Source organism: Homo sapiens, chromosome 20 (genome assembly GCF_000001405.40).
Source record: "Homo sapiens chromosome 20, GRCh38.p14 Primary Assembly".
Lineage (NCBI taxonomy): Eukaryota > Metazoa > Chordata > Mammalia > Primates > Hominidae > Homo > Homo sapiens.
This window is the reverse complement of record NC_000020.11, coordinates 31987508-32005043: the sequence shown is the minus strand read 5'-3', so window position 1 is coordinate 32005043 and position 17536 is coordinate 31987508. Positions and strand designations below refer to the sequence as shown.

Sequence of the window (17536 nt, the reverse complement as noted above, 5' to 3'; positions counted from 1 at the left end):
AACATGGATACTGGTGGACACTTAGCAGTCCCTACCTCACCAGAATTGGGTCACATGCCCCTGCCCCCATCAATCCCTGGTCAGGGGAATTATCTTAGACCAATTGTCCTCAAATGTAGGCATGCATCAGAATCACCCAGAAGGCCTGTCAAACAGATTGCTGTGCCCCATTCACATGGTGGCTGATTTAATAGATCTGAGGCCTGAGAATCTGCATTTATAACAAGTTCCCTGGTGCTACTATTCTGGAGACCACAGTTTGGAAACCACTGTCTTTGGTCAATCATGATTTGTCTCCTGGGGCCAGGTCAGGGTTACATTCCCTGGGCACTTTGGAGGGGGACCCTTGAAAAACTGGGGCTCCACCTGCATGAAAGCATGGCCGAGAAAGCCTGTTGGATGGCAATCAGGAGAGTCTTATGGAAACAGGAAAATGGGTGGTATGGAGAGGCTATGGGGGCCAGGTGGGTTATGTCAGAGATGAGACTCAAGATGGTTTTAGGCCCAGTTTCCAAAAGTCAGAGTTTGGCAGAAGAGTTTGACCTTTATCCTGAAGGCACTGGGGAACCATGGGAGGTTCTAAAGCAAGGAAATGCCATGATCAGGTTTATGGAGGGTACTTTAAAGTAGTGGTCCTTGGCTGGGTGCAGTGGCTCACATCTGTAATCCCACCACTTCGGGAGGCCAAGGCTGGAGGATTGCTTGAGACTACGAGTTCGAGACCAGCCTGGGCAACACAGGGAGACCCTCATTTCTATAACAATGTTTTAAAAATTAGCTGGGCATGGTGGCATGTGCCTGCAGTCCCAGCTACTCTGGAGGCTTAGGCGAAAGGATTGCTTGAGCCCAGGAGTACAAGGCTGCAGTGAGCTATGATTGCATCACTGCAATCTAGCCTAGGTGACAGAGTGAGACTCGTCTCTGGAAAAAAAAAAAAAAGAAAAGAAAAGATCTGCAAGGTCCAGGTCCTCAGATCCGCTTGCACCAGAATGCAGGATTCCCAGGCATGTTCTTTAAACACACCTGAAGAACTTTAAAAATGCAGATTTCCAGGCATGTTCTACCTATTCCCTGATTATGGAGGCAGAAATATGCATTTAAAACATATCCCCTCTTCTCCAAGTGATTCTCATGCACTTTGAAGTTTGAGAACCACTGGATTAGGATGGAAGCCCTGGAGACAGAGGCCCTCTTAGAGGCAATACCCCCTAGGATAGGATGTAAGCTCCTTGAGGGCAGGGACCTTGCCTGTTTTATATCTTTCTTGTTCACTATGCCAAGAACTGCCTGGCACCCAGTAGGTTCTCAATAAGTATTGGCTGTAGTGGAGTTAGGAACTTCAGTCTGGGCCCTGATTTTGTCATAGACTCATTCTGTGATCTCTGACAAGTATCCCCACCCTTTATCTCCCCCCACCCACTTTATCTGTAAAATGAGTTTGGAGATAATCTGTAGAACTTTTGGCCTGAGGATTCTGGTTGATTGATTGAAATGCTGCCCAATAAACAGGAGATGTTGTGTAATGTCCCACCCTCTCCCAGCCAAAGGCCTTTCTCTCTTGAGCCACAGAGATTGTGGCAAGTGGTACCCTACCTATCCCTCCTTCCTCATCTCCTTCCCCTGGCCCAGAACAGCCAAAACAATAGGACACAAGCAGCACGTACTGAAATGACTTTTAATATCTCATGTCGCAGCAAAATTAAAAATATACAAAAAGTTTGTGGTGTACAAAAGAGTCTCAGTAAAGAGGCCCCAGCTCGGGGCCCCCTCCCCCTCCCCCTCCTGGGGGAAGCTCGGAGGGTGAATGGGGGTCAGGGGGATGAGGGATGGCACAGATGTAGTAAATACCAGGAGGTGGGACCAGGAAAAGGAAACAGAAGAGGACAGGGGTGAGGGCCCGTTAGGGAGGAAGAGACGACAGGGAGGGGAAGAATCACTCGGAATTGTGCTGACAGAGGGAGATTAGCCCCTCAGGCATGGCTAGTGATTCCTAGAGTTCCAGGGGCATGGAGGGGAGGATCAGGGCTGGGGATATTCTGGTGGGACCCTCAAAAGAACCGGGTTCTGGTCTCACCCTGCCACCAACTTGCTGTGTGACCTTGGGCTGGCCATCTCCCATCTCTGGGCTTGCCCCTTCAGTAAAATAGGATGCTGGATGTCTAAACCATTGATTCCCAACGTGGGGTCCCAGACCCTGAGGGCCTGTGAAGGCAGGAATGAGTGCCCACAAGTGCTTTTGAGAATTTTGTATTAAGCAACTCAATAAAATACATATATTCCCCCACCTTCAAGCCCTAGAAGTTGACTTGAGGCCTTAGAAACATTTATCTGCAATCAGAAGCTCAGCTTGAGTTAATTTAATATGGGAAAATGAATTCTTCTTCAAGAAATGAGGCTGGTTTGGGAGAAAAATCTCCTAAACCACAGGATCCTCAGGGAAGAAAATAATGAGGGAGCTATGGGAACGGTTCAGATACCTTCCAGCTATTTCATGATGGGTTCGGAAAGCCAGTGGGGCTGGGGGCTATGTTTATATGAGGCTCCTCCAAGTTCGGTGGTTTAGCACAATGGAGACCAGGGAAAAGGGTCAGATTCGATCTGGGGGGATTTGGGTGAGAGAGAGATGGAGGAATCACCTTTTCCCCCCTGGCACCTTCTGTACCCCCTCTTTGTCCCAGGATACCCTCCATTCTGAGATTATTGCAGGTGCCCTGGGACCCCCACCCATTCAGCCTGGCCAGGGGTGCCCTTGCAGTGGTTATGCATAGAATAAAGGCCAGGGTTGCTGAGGAGAGGGCAGCCTTCTCCTCCAGAGAAGGGAAGGGTGGCAGAAGCTAAGCACAAGGGGGTAACCTCTCTGTCCCCTGGGGAGTTTTCTGTCTCCAGAAACCAGGCCAGGCCTGGACAGGGCCTTCCTTTTCCACTTCCACATCTCCCACTCTAGAGTTTTTCCTCCCCATACCTCTACCGGCAGCAGCCAAGGACCCAGAAATGTCCTATCCTCTCCCCAACCAGAATGGCACATTGAAGCTCCTTTCCTCCCCAGCCCCAGGTCTCAGAAGCCTCTATGGTTGGGAAGGGGGCTCAAACCCCAACCCTACTACTGCCCATGCGGCTTGACACCCACTTGTTCCCTTCCATTGAGACACTGCAAAGCACTTTAATATAGAAACTACAGCTCCCCCTACCAACCTCTACTGCAGGCCCCACCACAGCTTGAACTGGGAGGGAGACAGGTGCCAAAGGTGGCAGGGGCCAGCACAGAATGGGACTCTTGGGTCCTGGCTTTCAGTCCACATCCTGCACCTGGACTCCCCTGCAACCCAATGTAGATTCCTCCTAACCAGGGGCCCCCAAGCTGGAGAAGACTCCAGCAGCCTCTAACCCCATGAGGCACTGGAGGGGCCTGTAGCCCTTATCAGATGATTCCCAAACCAGGGACCCTGTGGACCCCCCAGATTTCCCTTTTCAGCTGAGAGGGCAGTGGGCTCAGTTCTCAGATAGCCAGGTGATGGGGATTTAGGGTTGGACTAGCAAAGTCTCAGAGGGAGCCACAGCCTCTGTCCCTGACTTCCGCTGAGGGGTTTCCACTTGGCAGGACACTCCAGAACCTTCTCAACATTTTGAACCGTAAGTCTCAAACTGGTGGCACGTGGGCCAAATATGAGTGGCCAGCAGTTTCCCAAACATTTGAATTTTAGTACCTACAGGCAGGGCACACACTCACTCTCCTGTCTGCCAGAGTCCCCAACACTCCCTATTGTCTCCATTACTCTTAGTTTCATTATCTCGAGGCATTTGAGTTTGCATCCCATGCAGCCTTCGTCCCAGAAAACCTTCTCCCTATTGTCTGAGGCTTCTGTGGACTCCAGGTCCAGATTAATTCCAAGGGAAGAACCTGCAGAACTCGAGTACTTAGGAGGGTGTTGACTGCAAGCGAGACCTTCCCTGGATATTCCCAGCTCCCTCAGCCCTTATCCAGAGGCCTGGACTTTCCCCAGGCCTCACCTTCCCTGCCCTCTGTCTTTCCCGACTCTCATGGGTGACATGCCTCTGTGGGACACAGGTGTAGCAGGGAGCTGGCTGGGGGTAAGGCAGATTTGGGGGAGACACAAGAATGAGGCAGATGACAGGAGGGGATCAAGCAAGGCTCCCTCATTGGGGAGCCCTGTGTGGGGGAGTGGGGAGGTCTGTGCTGTTCAGCTGGGGTGACAGTTACAAGGCACATGGCACATCAGTGCCAGGAGGCGCCGTGATGTGGGTGTGTGTGGTGCCTGCAGAGGTTTGGGGAACACAGTCAACAGCGTGGGGGTCAGTTCTAAGAAAACAGGTAGACAGAAGTCTGCCCTGGAGATGGGGACACTGGTCTCCTGGGGTTAGAGGTAACTGAGGGCAGGGCCTGCCATATTTGGTACCCAAAGCATCCTGTTCTCTTCTGTTCCTGGCAAAATTAAGACACACCCAACTACCTCTCATCCCCAGGGAAATCCTAACTGCCACTGACTTCCTGTGTGGCCTTTGGTGAGTCCTTGGTCCTCTCTGGGTCTCACTTTCTCCTGTCTAATGGATGTGGAGGGCAGGTGGCTTAAGGAACCCTCAGGGACCCTCTGGGCTGCAAGGACCCTGGCAGGGTGGGAAGGACAGGGAAGGACTGAACATCCAGACTGGGGTGGGGGTCAGGGGACAGGAGGCAGAGGACCAGGGGGGTCAGTTCTGCTAGGGGAGAGACTGGCTGAGGTAGATTGTGTCACAGAAAGAAAAACAAAACAGCTCCAAGGGGATGGACCCCTCCCTCATCTGACTCCTCTATCCCAGTGAAATGAAGGGACAAGCCAGTGGAGCAGGGGGCCTCAGGCCTGGTCCCGAGCTCCTGGGTGGAGAGTCCTTTAAGGGCTGAGACTCTTCTGAGGGTGAGAAGCAGGAGGAGGTGCCTGCAGCCCTCTCCCTGGGCCCTTTGACTGTGGCCATTCCTGTGCCCAGATGTCCCTGCAGGCAGAAGCCCTGAGGGAAGGGTGTGTGGGGTTGAGAAGAGGTGGGGAGTGGGGGTGGAGTAAAATCCAAAAATGTAGCCATGGCTTCCCTGCGAGCCTCAGACCATGCCAAGCCCTGCCAGCACATCCCTGCCCCTTGGGAGTCTCCTGGAGTGTAAAGGACCCCAGCTAGGACTTTTCCTCTAGAAGGCAGCAGCCAGATGGGCCATTCTGGGATACTGGGGAGGAGAATAACTTGCCAAGGGTGACCCTCATGCTACATCTCTGGGCCTCAGTTTCCTCGTCTGTAAGATGGGTTGATAATACCTCTCTTGCAGGGACGTCGTGACCAGAGGAGAGTGTAAGTGAAACGACATGGGGTGAAAATTCCTGGCACAAAGTTGGCCCTGGAGAAACAGTCTGTTTCTGGGTCTGGGTCCGCATCTTCAGAGCTCCCATCTCACAACGGCTTTGTGTGTGAATTCAGCCTCCAAAGATGGATTTGGAGGATGGATGAACCCAACAGAGTGGGCCTGGGTCAGCCTTGGGCTTCTCCCACCTCCCGTCACCCTCGAGGCCTCGTTCCTGAGGGTGCTTAGCAGCAGAAAGAAGGAAAAGCACTCTTGCTGTGTTGGCAGGAGGGATGATGCGTACACCATCTCGGCCTGTGTGCTGGTGGGGAGGGTGACCCGTATCATGGTTGTGCTTGTGCTTGTGTGTATGTGGGCAGTCTGGCCCTCCCTGCCTTTGGGGTTACCCTGCATCCCCAGCAATTCATCATTACCCATCACCTTTTGATGGGCAGCCCAGAGTCTGGGACCTTGAGAGAGTGGCTGCCACTCTGGGCCTCAGTTTCCCATCTGTAACCCAAGAGAGGCTGAACCAGGGAGGGCTAAGCATCCCTCTAATTTGCATAGTCTAGGATTCTCATGGCCCACCTCACTCCAGGATCAGGTTGGCATCTGTCCTTAACATCCGCTGCTGTCCTCTCCCACCAATCACACCTAAGTTGCTGTGGGAGTGTGTGTGTGGGGGGGTGGGGGGTGGGTTGGGTTCCCAGCTCTGCTAGAGGCTCTGTCTCCTCACCCCATGGAACTGCCTACTTCCCCTCTCCCATACGCCCCCTCAATCCAGCACTGGCTGTCCTAGGTGGGAGGAGGGGCCCTGGGTGAGTCCCCTGGGCACTCCAGGATGTTCAGGCCATGGGAATAGACCACAGGTCCTGGGGAGTCATCAGATCTAAGGCAAAACAAGTCAGTTTCCCAGATGCCGCTCCAGGGAGCCCCATTTGCAGAGTGGCTGAGAGCCAGGATTCATGTCACGTCCCCAGAGCTATTTTTTTTTCCAGCTGGGAACCAGTTGGCAGCTGAAATGTCTCAGGGGTTCTGAGGACAATTTCCTTTTAGAAAGATGGCTATGGACCAAGGTAACAGGGGCCTAGAGCTCCCATGAGCCCCAGAAGTCTAGAATGAGAGCACCCATTCCTAGAAAATTCCATTCACGCTGGGCTCTAGAACCTCTTCTCCCCCACCACTGTGACAGGTGCTAGAATCCCCCACAGCAGAGCAGCAGGCCTCCAGTGTCCTCCTCCTCACAACAGAATACACAGATCAGAGTGGCTCCCTGGGACATTTTATCAGCCTAGCACTCTAGAACTCAATCTAGAACTAAGCCTGCTTCTGGATCAGTTCCTCTGATAACTGTGCTAAAACCTCACCTGCACTTGAGCCCAGAGATCTTTCCAGACATCTTATCTGCTGTGTTGAAGACCTGTATCTAGAAGCCACGTTCCAGGTGCACATCTAGAACAAAAAATGGCTCCTTCAAACATTTCACCTGAGGTGTGTGGAACTTCATCCTTCACAGAGCCCACAACACAACAAGAGACGTCTCCTAAGGAGTTCATTCTTGTTCGCTATGCTCTGGATTGCAGGTTCCCCTCCCCCAAGTCTTCCACCCCTCCATGCTTCTGCCAGCCTAGACCCCCCCCCCAGTTCTTTCTCCTATCCATCTCCAGCACTGCCAGCCCCCCACCCCAACACCCTGCCCCACCCCAACTCCCTTCTTCAGCTCCCTCTTGCCCTGGCTCCAGGCCTCAGATGCTACAGGAGCCACGCCATCCCTGTCCACACAATGCTCCAACCTCACCCCATCCCTTCCACGGCCACCTCCATCCTTCTCAGAGATCTTTTCCCACCATAGAGGCAGCCCACTCTCCACAACCCCTGAGGAGCACAGGGTCTAGGTCATGGACCCCAGACAGTGCCCTTTCTCTGGCAAGTCCAGCAGGGGCAACACATGGGCAACGCCAGGCAGGGGAGAGGTGTGGAGGCCCCATGAAAGCAGGGCAGCTCGAAAAGTGTAGCACCAGATGATTCCCCAGGCCCTGGGTCAGGGGAATTTAGGGAATGGGCCACAAGGCTGAAAACGGGGCCCAGGGCTGGGGCCTCCGCAAGGCTGCCCCCTCCCCTGAAAGAACCCAAGAGTGGGGCCACTCTACCCTTGGACCAACAGATCCACTCCCCCTTAGCCTGGTGGCCCTGAAATTCGGGGCACAACACTGCGGCGGATGTGGGATCAGCCAAGCCTGTCCCTTTTGTGCTGGGACACTGTAGCCTACACTGTGGTCTCATACTCCAGCAGCTCCTGGGAAGTCCCCACACTCCGGTACTGCAACCGGGGCGTGGCAGGTGAGGAGTACTCCAGTGCCAGGATGGTCTTCCGGAGCCGGCGGTCAATAAAATGAGCATCCCAGGCCGGGTACTTCTTGCGAGGCAAGTCAATCCGGATGACAGGCCCCTCTGTCCGCAAGGTGCGGGCCACTGGTGTGGGAGGCAAGCCAGGCCGCACCTGGAAGACAGGTGGGGTGGGGGTCCCTGCACGCTCTCCCGCCGAGGCCCCATCCCGCTCAGCACCTGTAGTCCTTGGCAGGGACCTGGGGGGACTCGTGATGGCGTCAGCGGGTGGGCCACAGGGCTCTGAGGCCTTACGGAAGATGCAACCAGGTGCCTGGGGACCCAGCATGGGCCCATTGGGGTGCAGGAGACAGTAGTAGACACACATGAAGAATATGCCCAGCGCAAAGCTGGAGGCCACTACGCAGACCATGATGAGCGAGTAGAAGTCGGTTGAGAAGTTGCGGCTGGAGTACCAGAAGCCGGTGAGCGCGGCGTTCTCCAGCAGGACGATGCAGTGGTAGAGGGTCATGCGGCGGCGGCTGCGGCCCTCCTTGACGTTGAACCAGCAGAAGATGTAGATGATGCCCACGACCATGTTGTAGATGATCTCCTCCCACTTGGACATGCAGAAGTCCGTCTCCCCTTGGATGACCCAGAAGGTCATGACGCACCAGTGGGCCACGATGAAGATGCCAAAATAGAGCTTGTAGACGCTGGCGAAGAGCGCGAAGGCCAGGCCGCGGGCGGCAATGCTGAACAGGTGCCACAGCACCTGTGCCACGGCGCCCTTGTAGGACAGCGGCCGCTTGTCGTCCCGCGAGTCCCGCAGCACCTTCTGGTAGGAGGCCAGCGTCCAGGCCAGAGACACGAGGGAGGCGGAGGTGGAGAGGGCTGTGGAGACAGGGCAGGGGCGGGGTGGGCTGGGTTAGGGGCGGGCTCGGGTTGGGGTCTGGGGAGAGGCGGAGGGTTCTGGGTCAGGAGCTGGGTTTTGAAGAGGCGTGAGGAAAGGAGCTGTGGATCAGCAGGGGTGTGGGGAAGGTCTGGGAGGTGGGGAGCTTCAAGAGCCATGAAGAGGTGTGGTGAGGGTGCACGGGACTGGGTACTTCTGTAGGGTGGGAGCATAAAGGGAGACGAAGATGGGGGTTTGGCCTCCATCTAGGACTCTGGTGTGGGGCTGTTAGGATTCAGGGGTCTTGGTGGGAGGGTGGGAAATGAGGGTCCGGGACTCTGGGAGTGGAAGAGGAGGTGAAGAGGAGGTCATGATTAGGGTGTGGAGCTGCCAGGAGGGGGCCATTAGAAGTCGTGGGCCACCAGGAGGAGGCCGGGCATGGAGAGGAATATCTAGAGCTGAGCTGAGCAGAGCTGAGGGGCGGGGATGGGGAGACCCAAGGTGGGAAGCGTTGTGATTGGGACCCCGTAACTGGGCAAGGGGTCCCCAGGGCCATGAGGGGTGGTGATAGTCTTTTGGGACACTGAGGATGGGTTGGGCAGGGACTAGGTTGGGAGAGCACGGAGTGCTTCAGGGAGACAGGGGGATGCGGTTTTTCTCTGATATTGAGGGGCTCTGTCATTATGGAAGGGGCAAGGTGGGAAATTAACAGGGCCTGTAGGGAGGAGGAGGGGATGGGTGCCAGGACTAGGCCTGGGAGGGCCCCCCGGGGCCCCCCAGTGAAGGGGTAGGCTCTCTGGAAACTGATGGTGATTGGCCAGGTCTATGAGGCAGGGGGTCCCCAGGAGATGCAGGCTGGGATCAGGTTGGGGAAGGAAGTGGGCAGGGGATTCCCCAGAGGGTCTAAGGTGTTTGGGTGGGAGATGGGGTTTGGTTGGCTCTGGCAACGGGGAAGGGAGGAGGGCAGGAGCGCCCAGGGGGGCTGATGGGTGTCGAGGGAGTGGAGGGGCCAGGTCCCTCCTCACTCTGAGTATAAGTGGGCCATCGAAGGGGACGCGGGGGTCTCGAGAGGCCTGGAGGGTGGTGAGGGTAGAAGGGGCAGGCCTCCCTAAACCCTGACTGAGTGAGCCCTGAGCTGGGGTGGGGAAGCCCACAGGGCATCCCCAGGGAGCCTGAAGCAGGGAGAAAGGCCCGGTGGGGTGGTCCCAGGCGCAGAGGGTGAAGGGGCGGGCTCACCCGGCAGCAGGTCGGGCGCGCCACCGCGGTGCACCAGCAGGCTGAGCTGCAGCACTAGCTGCGGCGCGCTGCGCAGGAAGGTCTCCAGCAAGCGCAGCATGCTCACGTCGGCGCTCTCGAACAGCATCTGCCAGTAGAAGTGGCGCCGCAGCCGCTCCCCGCGCCAGCGGCTCTGCAGCCCCAGGTACAGGGCGCGCAGGTACCTGCGGGAAGGACGCGGTGCTCAGGCTCCCGCGCGCTGGTTCCTCTCGCTCTGTCGCACCAGCCCCGAGCCGCCCACAGGCGCAGGGGGCAAGTCACTCCCTACGCTGAGCCTGTTTCCTCAGCTGTGAAATGGGCATTTCGAAAGGATCACCTTATGAGGCTGCTGTTGAGGAGCACTGAATGGACTCATTAGCTTAGAGAGAGGACTGGCACTAAGTAAATAAAGCCTTTAATACAACAGCGGTATCGCCCTTATTCCTATAACGGTTGGGGCGTGCTTTCTTTGGAGGGTTACTGACACCTTGGAGTGCGCTGAGCTTACAATAGCCCTGTTACCCGACCCTTACTTTGTTTTATTTTAGAGATGGGGTCTCATTCTGTCACCCAGGCTGGAGTGCAGTGGTGCGATCTTAGCTCACAGCAACTTCAAACTCCTGGGCTCAAGGAATCTTCCCGACTCAGCCTCCTAAGTAGCTGGGACTGCAGGCATGTACCACTACACCAGGCTAATTTTTAAATTTTTTTCTGGCTATGTTGCCCAGGCTGGTCTTGAACTCCTGGCCTCATCTCAAGTGATCATCCTGCTTTGGCCTCCCAGGGTGCTAGGAATACAAGCATGAGCCACCGCACACGGCCCAATTCCCATTTTGTAGGTGAGCAAACTGAGACCCAGAGAGATATGTCATTTATCCAAGGTCACACAGCTAGGAAGCAGTAGAACCAGGACACAAACCCAGCCATTCTGGCCTCAGGGCCGGCACTCTAACCATTAGACAACACTGCCTCTGACTGTAAACCATAAAAAGTTTTGCTCACATAGGTTCCTTCCAGGAACAGTCCCTACTGCCTGGTGCCAGCCCCGGTTCTGTTGCCACCAGCAGCTCCCTGGCCTGTTCCCTTCTCAGTGCCCAGATGAGGTGAGATCCTCACAGCTCAGTGCCCAGCTCTCACCCCAGGGTGCAAGGAAGGTGCTCACAGACACTTTTCCTTGGCATCTGAAACTGCTGCTTCCTCTCATGCCACTTCTCCCAACAAACTCCGGCTCTTCTTGGCCACTCTGCACAGGTCACAGAGCCAGAGCTCACAATGTTCTCCCTCCTTGCTGAGGAATTGTACCTATTGTTTCCTCTCCCTAAAACACCCTGCCCTATCCCCTAACCCCATCCCGGCCCCAACCCGGGATGACTCTTGCTTTTCTTCCAAGGCTCAGCTTTTGAACACAATTTTGTCCATAAAGCTTCCGCTGACCACCTTCCACCTAGGGTAAGGGCCTCTCCCAGGCTTCCGTCTAATCTAGCTAGCACTTGTCACAGTGGGTTGTAACTGCCTGGTTATGTGCACATCTCCCCCATGCTGTGAGTACCTGGAGAATGACTAGGCTGGCTTGCTAAGTGCTGCATCCTCAGTTCTTAGCACACAGTAGGTGCTTAATCTATATGGGCTGAATGAATGAAAGTGTGCTTAATCTATATGGGCTGAATGAATGAAACACGACTGCAGGCTTGTTGAACTGAATGGAACTCTAGTAACCCTATAGGGGGTATAGAAGGGACTCTGAAGTCCTGAGATCAATCCCACTTTGCTTCTAATTTACTGTGTGATCTTGAGCAAGACCCTCTCTGAGCCCTAGTTAATCCCTCCCAAAGTGGCGGTGAGGATTAAATGAATGAAAAGAAACTTTGCACACTATGAAGTACAGTGCCCATGTAGGGTGAGAGGGGAACTCTCCACACAGATCTCTGGGTCTGATTTCCCTTCTGCCCTGGTTCCTTGCCCAGAAGCTCTACTCCTGCAGCTACAGACCCTGCCACCTTCCCAGCGCCCCCTACTCCCGCCGGCTCCCCAAACTCTCTGATTCACGGGGCAGGCACACTCTTTGCTGCAAACCAGAGGACTCTTCCAAAAGTGGCTTTCCCAGGAAACTGGGGGTGGTGTGTGTGTGTATGTGTATGTGTGTGTGTGTGTGTGTGTGTGTGTGGAGGGGGAACCCTTACACAGATTCTCTGACCCCGCTGCCTGGATCTGAAACTGGGGAGCCAGAGATTTGGGGTCTATTCCCAGGGTGAAGCGCTGGCATTTCCAGGATGTTGTTTGGGAACCAGGGGACTCACTCTATTCACAGCCCAAGGGAGGAAGTCACAGTTCTCCCTGGATGTGGGGCCAGCTGATACCAAATTTCCTCAAATGAGTATACTGGTCTTACCAGCTGTGTGGCCCTCTCAAAGCCTCAGTTTCTCCATCTGCCAATGAAAGGGATGAGTTTGATGACTCTGGAGATCCTTTCAGAGTGAATATTCTGGGACTCTCTCTGCAAAATGAGGCCAGGAACATCCCATTTAGGACCCTCCTCCCCATCCCTGGGTCATCCTGGCATCAGTCTATGGCATAAACACACCATCAACATAACACATGACAGGATTGGCAGCCAGGATGGGTAAGGGGGCTGTTCCCTCAGAAGCTGACTCTGGAAATGCAAAGCCCCCTCTGTCCAACTCTCCTGTGCCATGCTGGAATTCCTTCAGTCATTTCCAGCCTGGTGTATCTATACCCACTGCTCACACGCTGCCCAGGACAGGGACCTCAGCCTGCTGCATCTACACTCACTGCTCACACGCTCCCCAGGACAGGGACCTCAGCTTCTGAGCAGCTCCAGGTCTGGATTGTATTTCTTCTGATAAGCAGAAATTTGTCTCCCTGTATCTTCCATTTTCTGGACTCCTGCTTACCCCACACATAAGGATCCCTGCAGCCAGAATGATTCATTCATGTAGCAGGTGGATTCTGACCACCTGCTCTGTGCCAGGCTGTGTGCCCATATGTATCTCCCAGTCCCATGGAAGAGAGACAAGATAGGAAGTGAAATAATGCTATAAGATGCCTTGGAAGGAAGAAACATTTGATCTCAGTTTTTTTGTTTGTTTTTGTTTTTGTTTTGTTTTGTTTTGTTTTGAGACAGAGTTTCGCTCTTGTTGCCCAGGCTGGAGTGCAGTGGTGTGATCTCGGCTCACCACAACCTCCGCTTCCAGAGTTCAAGCGATTCTCCTGCCTCAGCCTCCCGAGTAGCTGGGATTACAGGCATACGCCATCATGCCTGGCTAATTTTGTATTTTTAGTAGAGACGGGGTTTCTCCATGTTGGTCAGGCTTGTCTCAAACTCCTGACCTTAGGTGATCCACCCGCCTCAGCCTCCCAAAGTGCTGGGATAACAGGTGTGGGCCACCACGCCTGGCCTGATCTCAGTTTTAAAGCATGGGTTGGCATCTGAAGGCACACAAGAGATGGAAGGTCATTCCAGGTGGGAGAATCAGCTGAAGCAAAGGCTCAGAGGCCTGAAAGAATTTGGCATTTTAGGGGAATGGCCAGAGGTTTGCTGGGCCTGGACAAGGGGTTTTAATGGGCAGGGACATAAGGAGACTAGAATTGTGAAGGGCATGAAATTCTGGACTGAAGAGTTCAGATTTTATTCTCTATCTGAATGCCATCCCAGAATCAGGGGTGATGAGCTTGGCTCAGTGGCTTAGAAAGCTTGCTGTGGAGGCTGGCTTGGAGGAAAGCCAGGAGAGGATGGGGTTTGGTCCAGGTCTGAAATTACAGGGCTGAGCTAAGGCATGGGATACAGGAAGGGCAGAGAGAGATCTGGAGATGGCCAGAGGTGGGGGCTGGGGGAGAAACCAAGATGGCCCTTAGAACTTCTGAGGGCCTAGAACACAGGCCGTCTTTCCTAGCCTCCATCCCCACTGCCGCCACATTCCCTTCCCCTTCCCATGGCTCTGGCTTTGACTAGGAAGGAGAGACCAGCTGGTCCAATGTGAAGGGGCCTGGGGAGTTGGGGGAAGGTGACACCCTGGAAGTTTCTCTCAGGCTGGAAGACCATCTGTTTCCGGGCCCGGGTCAGCATGAGAGAGGCCCTGGCCCCTGGCCAGCATCCATCACTACCTGACGGGCCACCTGCCCACCTCCCTGCCCACTCCTGCCCCCTCCTCTGCCAGCTCCTAGCTAACCACAGACAAAGGGCTCACACAGCCCAGGGCCACAGTGGGCAGGAGCAGGGATGGAGGAAGAGAAGAGAGGAGGGCTCTGAGTACCAGGAATGTGGGGTCAGTGGGGAGTGTGGAAAGACCACACTGTGGTCTGGGGATAAAAGGCCTGGGTTCTGCCTCGCTCTGCCCCTTTTGGCAACAGGAGCAAAACTGTGGCTGTTCCTTCCAGCCAGCACGAAAAGCTCTCTGCCAAGGGCCTGTGAGATTTTCATGGGCCTAGGGAAATGTTTGAAGCCTGAAAAAAAAAAATTGGCTCCAAAACACAGGGAAAAACTACAGAATCAAAATTAATAAATGTTTAATTAAATGTGTGCAAAACAGAACATGATGTCAGCCAGTCAACTACAATTTGGCTTTTATCTAGTCATATATAATTTACATGGGATGTTTGATGTAGCTGCATTTTAATATGCTTGATAGATGTGGTGCCCACAAAGGTCTTAAAACAGTCCTGCCCAGGACATGCAACCTAATTTCCCTGGCCCTCAGTTTCCCTTCTCTAAAATGGGAATGGCACTTGCCATTCTGCTTACACATAGCCACTGGGGTAAGGATGAGGGAGGAAAGGTAGCAATGGCTGGCATGTGGGTTTGATTCCCAGCCCTGTCCCAGACCTGCTGTGTGACCTTGGGTAGTCTCTCCACTTCTCTGAGCTTTATTTTCCTCCTTGTTGTGAGCATTAAATGAGTGTGATGGGGCAGGGTGCAGTGGCTCACACCTGTAATCCCAACACTTTGGGAGGCCGAGGTAGGTGGATCTCTTGAACCGGGGAGTTTGAGACCAGTCTGGGCAACACAGTGAGTCCCTGTTTCCACACACACACACACACACACACACACACACACACGCAATGAATTTAAAAATAGTTTATAAACTATAAAGGGTGTCCATAGAGGGAGTAGCATACACTGGGCAGGGGCCGCTGGCTCCTCCTCACCACCAGGCAACCTCTCTTGAAACCTCCTCTAGGAAGTCCACCCTATCCCACATCCCACTCTATTTGAAATGAAGTTGAAAGAAGCTGATCTTCACCCAAGGGAAGAACACCACACCTCAGGGAAGGGAATCCAGATTGGGGGTGGTGTACATCTGATCTTCTCCAAAATTATCCCCAGGCCAGGTGTGGCGGCTCATGCCTGGAATCCCAACATTTTGGGAGGCCAAGGCGGGAGGATCACTTGAGCCCAGGAGTTCAAGACCAGCCTGGGCATCACAGAGAAACCCCATCTCTACAAAACATTTAAAAATTGGCCGATGTGGTGGCGTGTGCCTGTAGTCCCAGCTACTCAGGAGGCTGAGGTGGGAAGATCACTTGAGTCCAGGAGTTCGAGGCTGCAGTCAGCCATGACTGCACCACTGCACTCCAGCCTGGGTGACAGGGTGAGAGTCCATCACTAAAAAACAACAAAATCCCCAGTCTGTCCATGTCTCCTCTGCTACCACCTGTGCAGGCCACAGTCATCTTGCCTGGGTGACCACGTCAGCCTTCTGTGTGGCTGCCCGCATCCACTCCTGCCTCCCTACAGTCCATTCTCCACATGGCAACCAGCAGGATATTTTTAAAACCTGTCAGATCATGTCATTCCCCTTCTCAAAGCCTTCCAAGGGCCTCCCATCACACTTGGAATAAAACCCACGCTTCTCCCCTCGGCGTGCAGGCCCTAAACCATCTGGCCCTGCCTGTTTCTCTCACCTCATCTCAAACCACTGTCCCACTTGTTCCTGACACTCCAGATGCGCTGGGGGGGGGGTGTCCTAAAACTCAGCCAGACTTGTCCCTGGCTCAGGACGTCTGCACTTGCTCTGCCTGGAATACCCCTTTCCCAGATCCTCCCATGGCTGGCTCCTCATCAGCTCACACCTTCTCAGAGAGGCCTCCCAGGCCACCCTTGCCAACTCACTCTAGTCTACCACACCCCCTGTCTTATTTTCATCTTAACCTACACTATGAAATCACCGTTTATTTATTTATTTTCCATTCTCCCACTGTGAATCCATGAGGGCAGGGATCTCGTCTGTCTTGATCACCCCTGTGTCCCCAGCATCAGTGCCTGTAGAATAGGCACTGATGCATTATTGAGTAGGCACTGACTATTTGCTGAATGAATACATGTGAGTATCTGTGTGCATCTCCCTCCTGACCTTACAGGGCTCTGGGGTTTCTCTGCTTGAAGTTGCAAAGAGCCAGGACACCTCACAGGCTCCTCCTGCCCTCGCTGACTCATTCTTGACCTTCTTCCTACAGGAAGCCCTCTCTGATGCCCCTCTAGCCCAGTTAGGCCTCACTTTCTCTAACAGCTCTCAGGCTTGAACTGCGTGAAGCCTGAAGTGAGCCAGACACTGTAGTCCATGCTGTTAACCTAACACGCAACTTCTGCTGTCCCCATTTCATAGATGAGGAAACAGAGGCCCTCAGTCTATTTGGAATCTAACTTACTGACCCCCAGTCTTGTGCTCAGAGAAGAAGCTTGTCCGGGAAGAAACTGGAAGAGCAGATGAGTGTACATCTCAAAAGTGTACAAGTGGGAGCAAAAAGGCCACACCTAGAGAGAAGAGTAGAAGCTAGAGTATGAAATCCCTCCTGTCAGGGACCCAAAAACCTGTCTCTTCTGAACCCCACTGCCTCTGTGAACAGGTGGCAGGATCGAGAAATGAATAGGAGCTCATTCCCTTCTCCCCAGGCCCATCCTACCCTCCTCACGGGAAATTTCCAGTGTCCCCCAGTCCCCCAGAGTTTGGGGGCTGCTCTCTAATGGGCAGGAGGGGAAAAGGACGAGGGGATCCCATGTTCTTGAGAAGCCAGGAAGCTTCTGGCAACGTCTGCATCACCCCATCTCTCTCCTGTTCTTCGTTCCTGAGTCACCCCAAGTCTCTGGTTCTAGGTCAGAGTTTCTGGCCTGCACCTCAGTCCATTCAGACAGTCAAACCTGGGCCCAAGCCTGGACCCATCCCTTTGACCTCAGATCCTGAGTCATTGTCTCTGTCTGTGGCTCAGATCAGCCTGTCTATTGTGTCTGTCCCTTGAATGCAGGGCTAGCCTATTTACCATTCCTGCATTTCTGTCAGGAGTCTGTTAGTCAGTCAGTCTCGCCCTGGAATCCTGGCTCAGTCCCTGGCTCAGTTCCAAAATCCTGGAATCCTGTCCCTTGGACTGTGGGTCACATAGTCTCTCAGATACTATGTCCTATTGGTCTGACCCTGTGATCCTGGGTCAGCCTGTCTGCCTGCCCTTAGAGGCCAGGAGCTTCAGTCTCTGTCCCCTGGATGCCAGACAGCCTGTCTATCCTGTGAATACGAGGTCTGCTTTTCTGTCTGTCTTGATACTGGGTCCACTTGGTGATCTGTCTCTCTGTGTCTTGAATGCTGGATCTGTTTGGTGGTCTGTCTGTCTGTCTGTGTCTTAATACTGGGTCCTCTTGGAGGTCTGTGTGTCTGTGTCTTGATACTGGGGCCGCTTTGTGGTCTGTCTGTCTGTGTCTTGGATGCTGGGTCTGTTTGGTGGTCTGTCTGTCTGTGTCT

General features: G+C 54.0%; 1 protein-coding gene across 1 annotated transcript in view, besides 4 other annotated features; it reads right to left on the bottom strand.

The window, feature by feature from the left end:
* Window positions 1-1656: 1656 nt before the first annotated feature.
* XKR7 (XK related 7) overlaps window positions 1657-17536 on the bottom strand; it is a 35237-nt gene continuing 19357 nt past the window's right edge. Inside the window, exons 2-3 of the mRNA NM_001011718.2 lie at window positions 9774-9976; window positions 1657-8539 (exon numbers count right to left, since the gene is read on the bottom strand). Coding sequence (NP_001011718.1) covers window positions 7587-8539; window positions 9774-9976 — 1156 coding nt within the window. The 3' untranslated portion in view covers window positions 1657-7586. The remainder of the gene's footprint in view (window positions 8540-9773; window positions 9977-17536) is intronic.
* Window positions 15289-16122: an enhancer, noted in NCBI's record as "H3K27ac hESC enhancer chr20:30576725-30577558 (GRCh37/hg19 assembly coordinates)". NCBI's record gives its function as "activates a minimal SCP1, AML or CMV promoter by ChIP-STARR-seq in naive H9 embryonic stem cells {active_cell/tissue: H9 hESC(naive)}" and the evidence as "EXISTENCE:reporter gene assay evidence [ECO:0000049][PMID:30033119]".
* Window positions 16123-16957: an enhancer, noted in NCBI's record as "H3K27ac hESC enhancer chr20:30575890-30576724 (GRCh37/hg19 assembly coordinates)". NCBI's record gives its function as "activates a minimal SCP1, AML or CMV promoter by ChIP-STARR-seq in primed H9 embryonic stem cells {active_cell/tissue: H9 hESC(primed)}" and the evidence as "EXISTENCE:reporter gene assay evidence [ECO:0000049][PMID:30033119]".
* Window positions 16123-17027: a biological region, named in NCBI's record as "H3K27ac hESC enhancer GRCh37_chr20:30575890-30576724".
* Window positions 16827-17027: a silencer, noted in NCBI's record as "peak4187 fragment used in MPRA reporter construct". NCBI's record gives its function as "represses an SCP1 promoter by STARR-seq MPRAs in K562 erythroleukemia cells {active_cell/tissue: K562}" and the evidence as "EXISTENCE:reporter gene assay evidence [ECO:0000049][PMID:32103011]".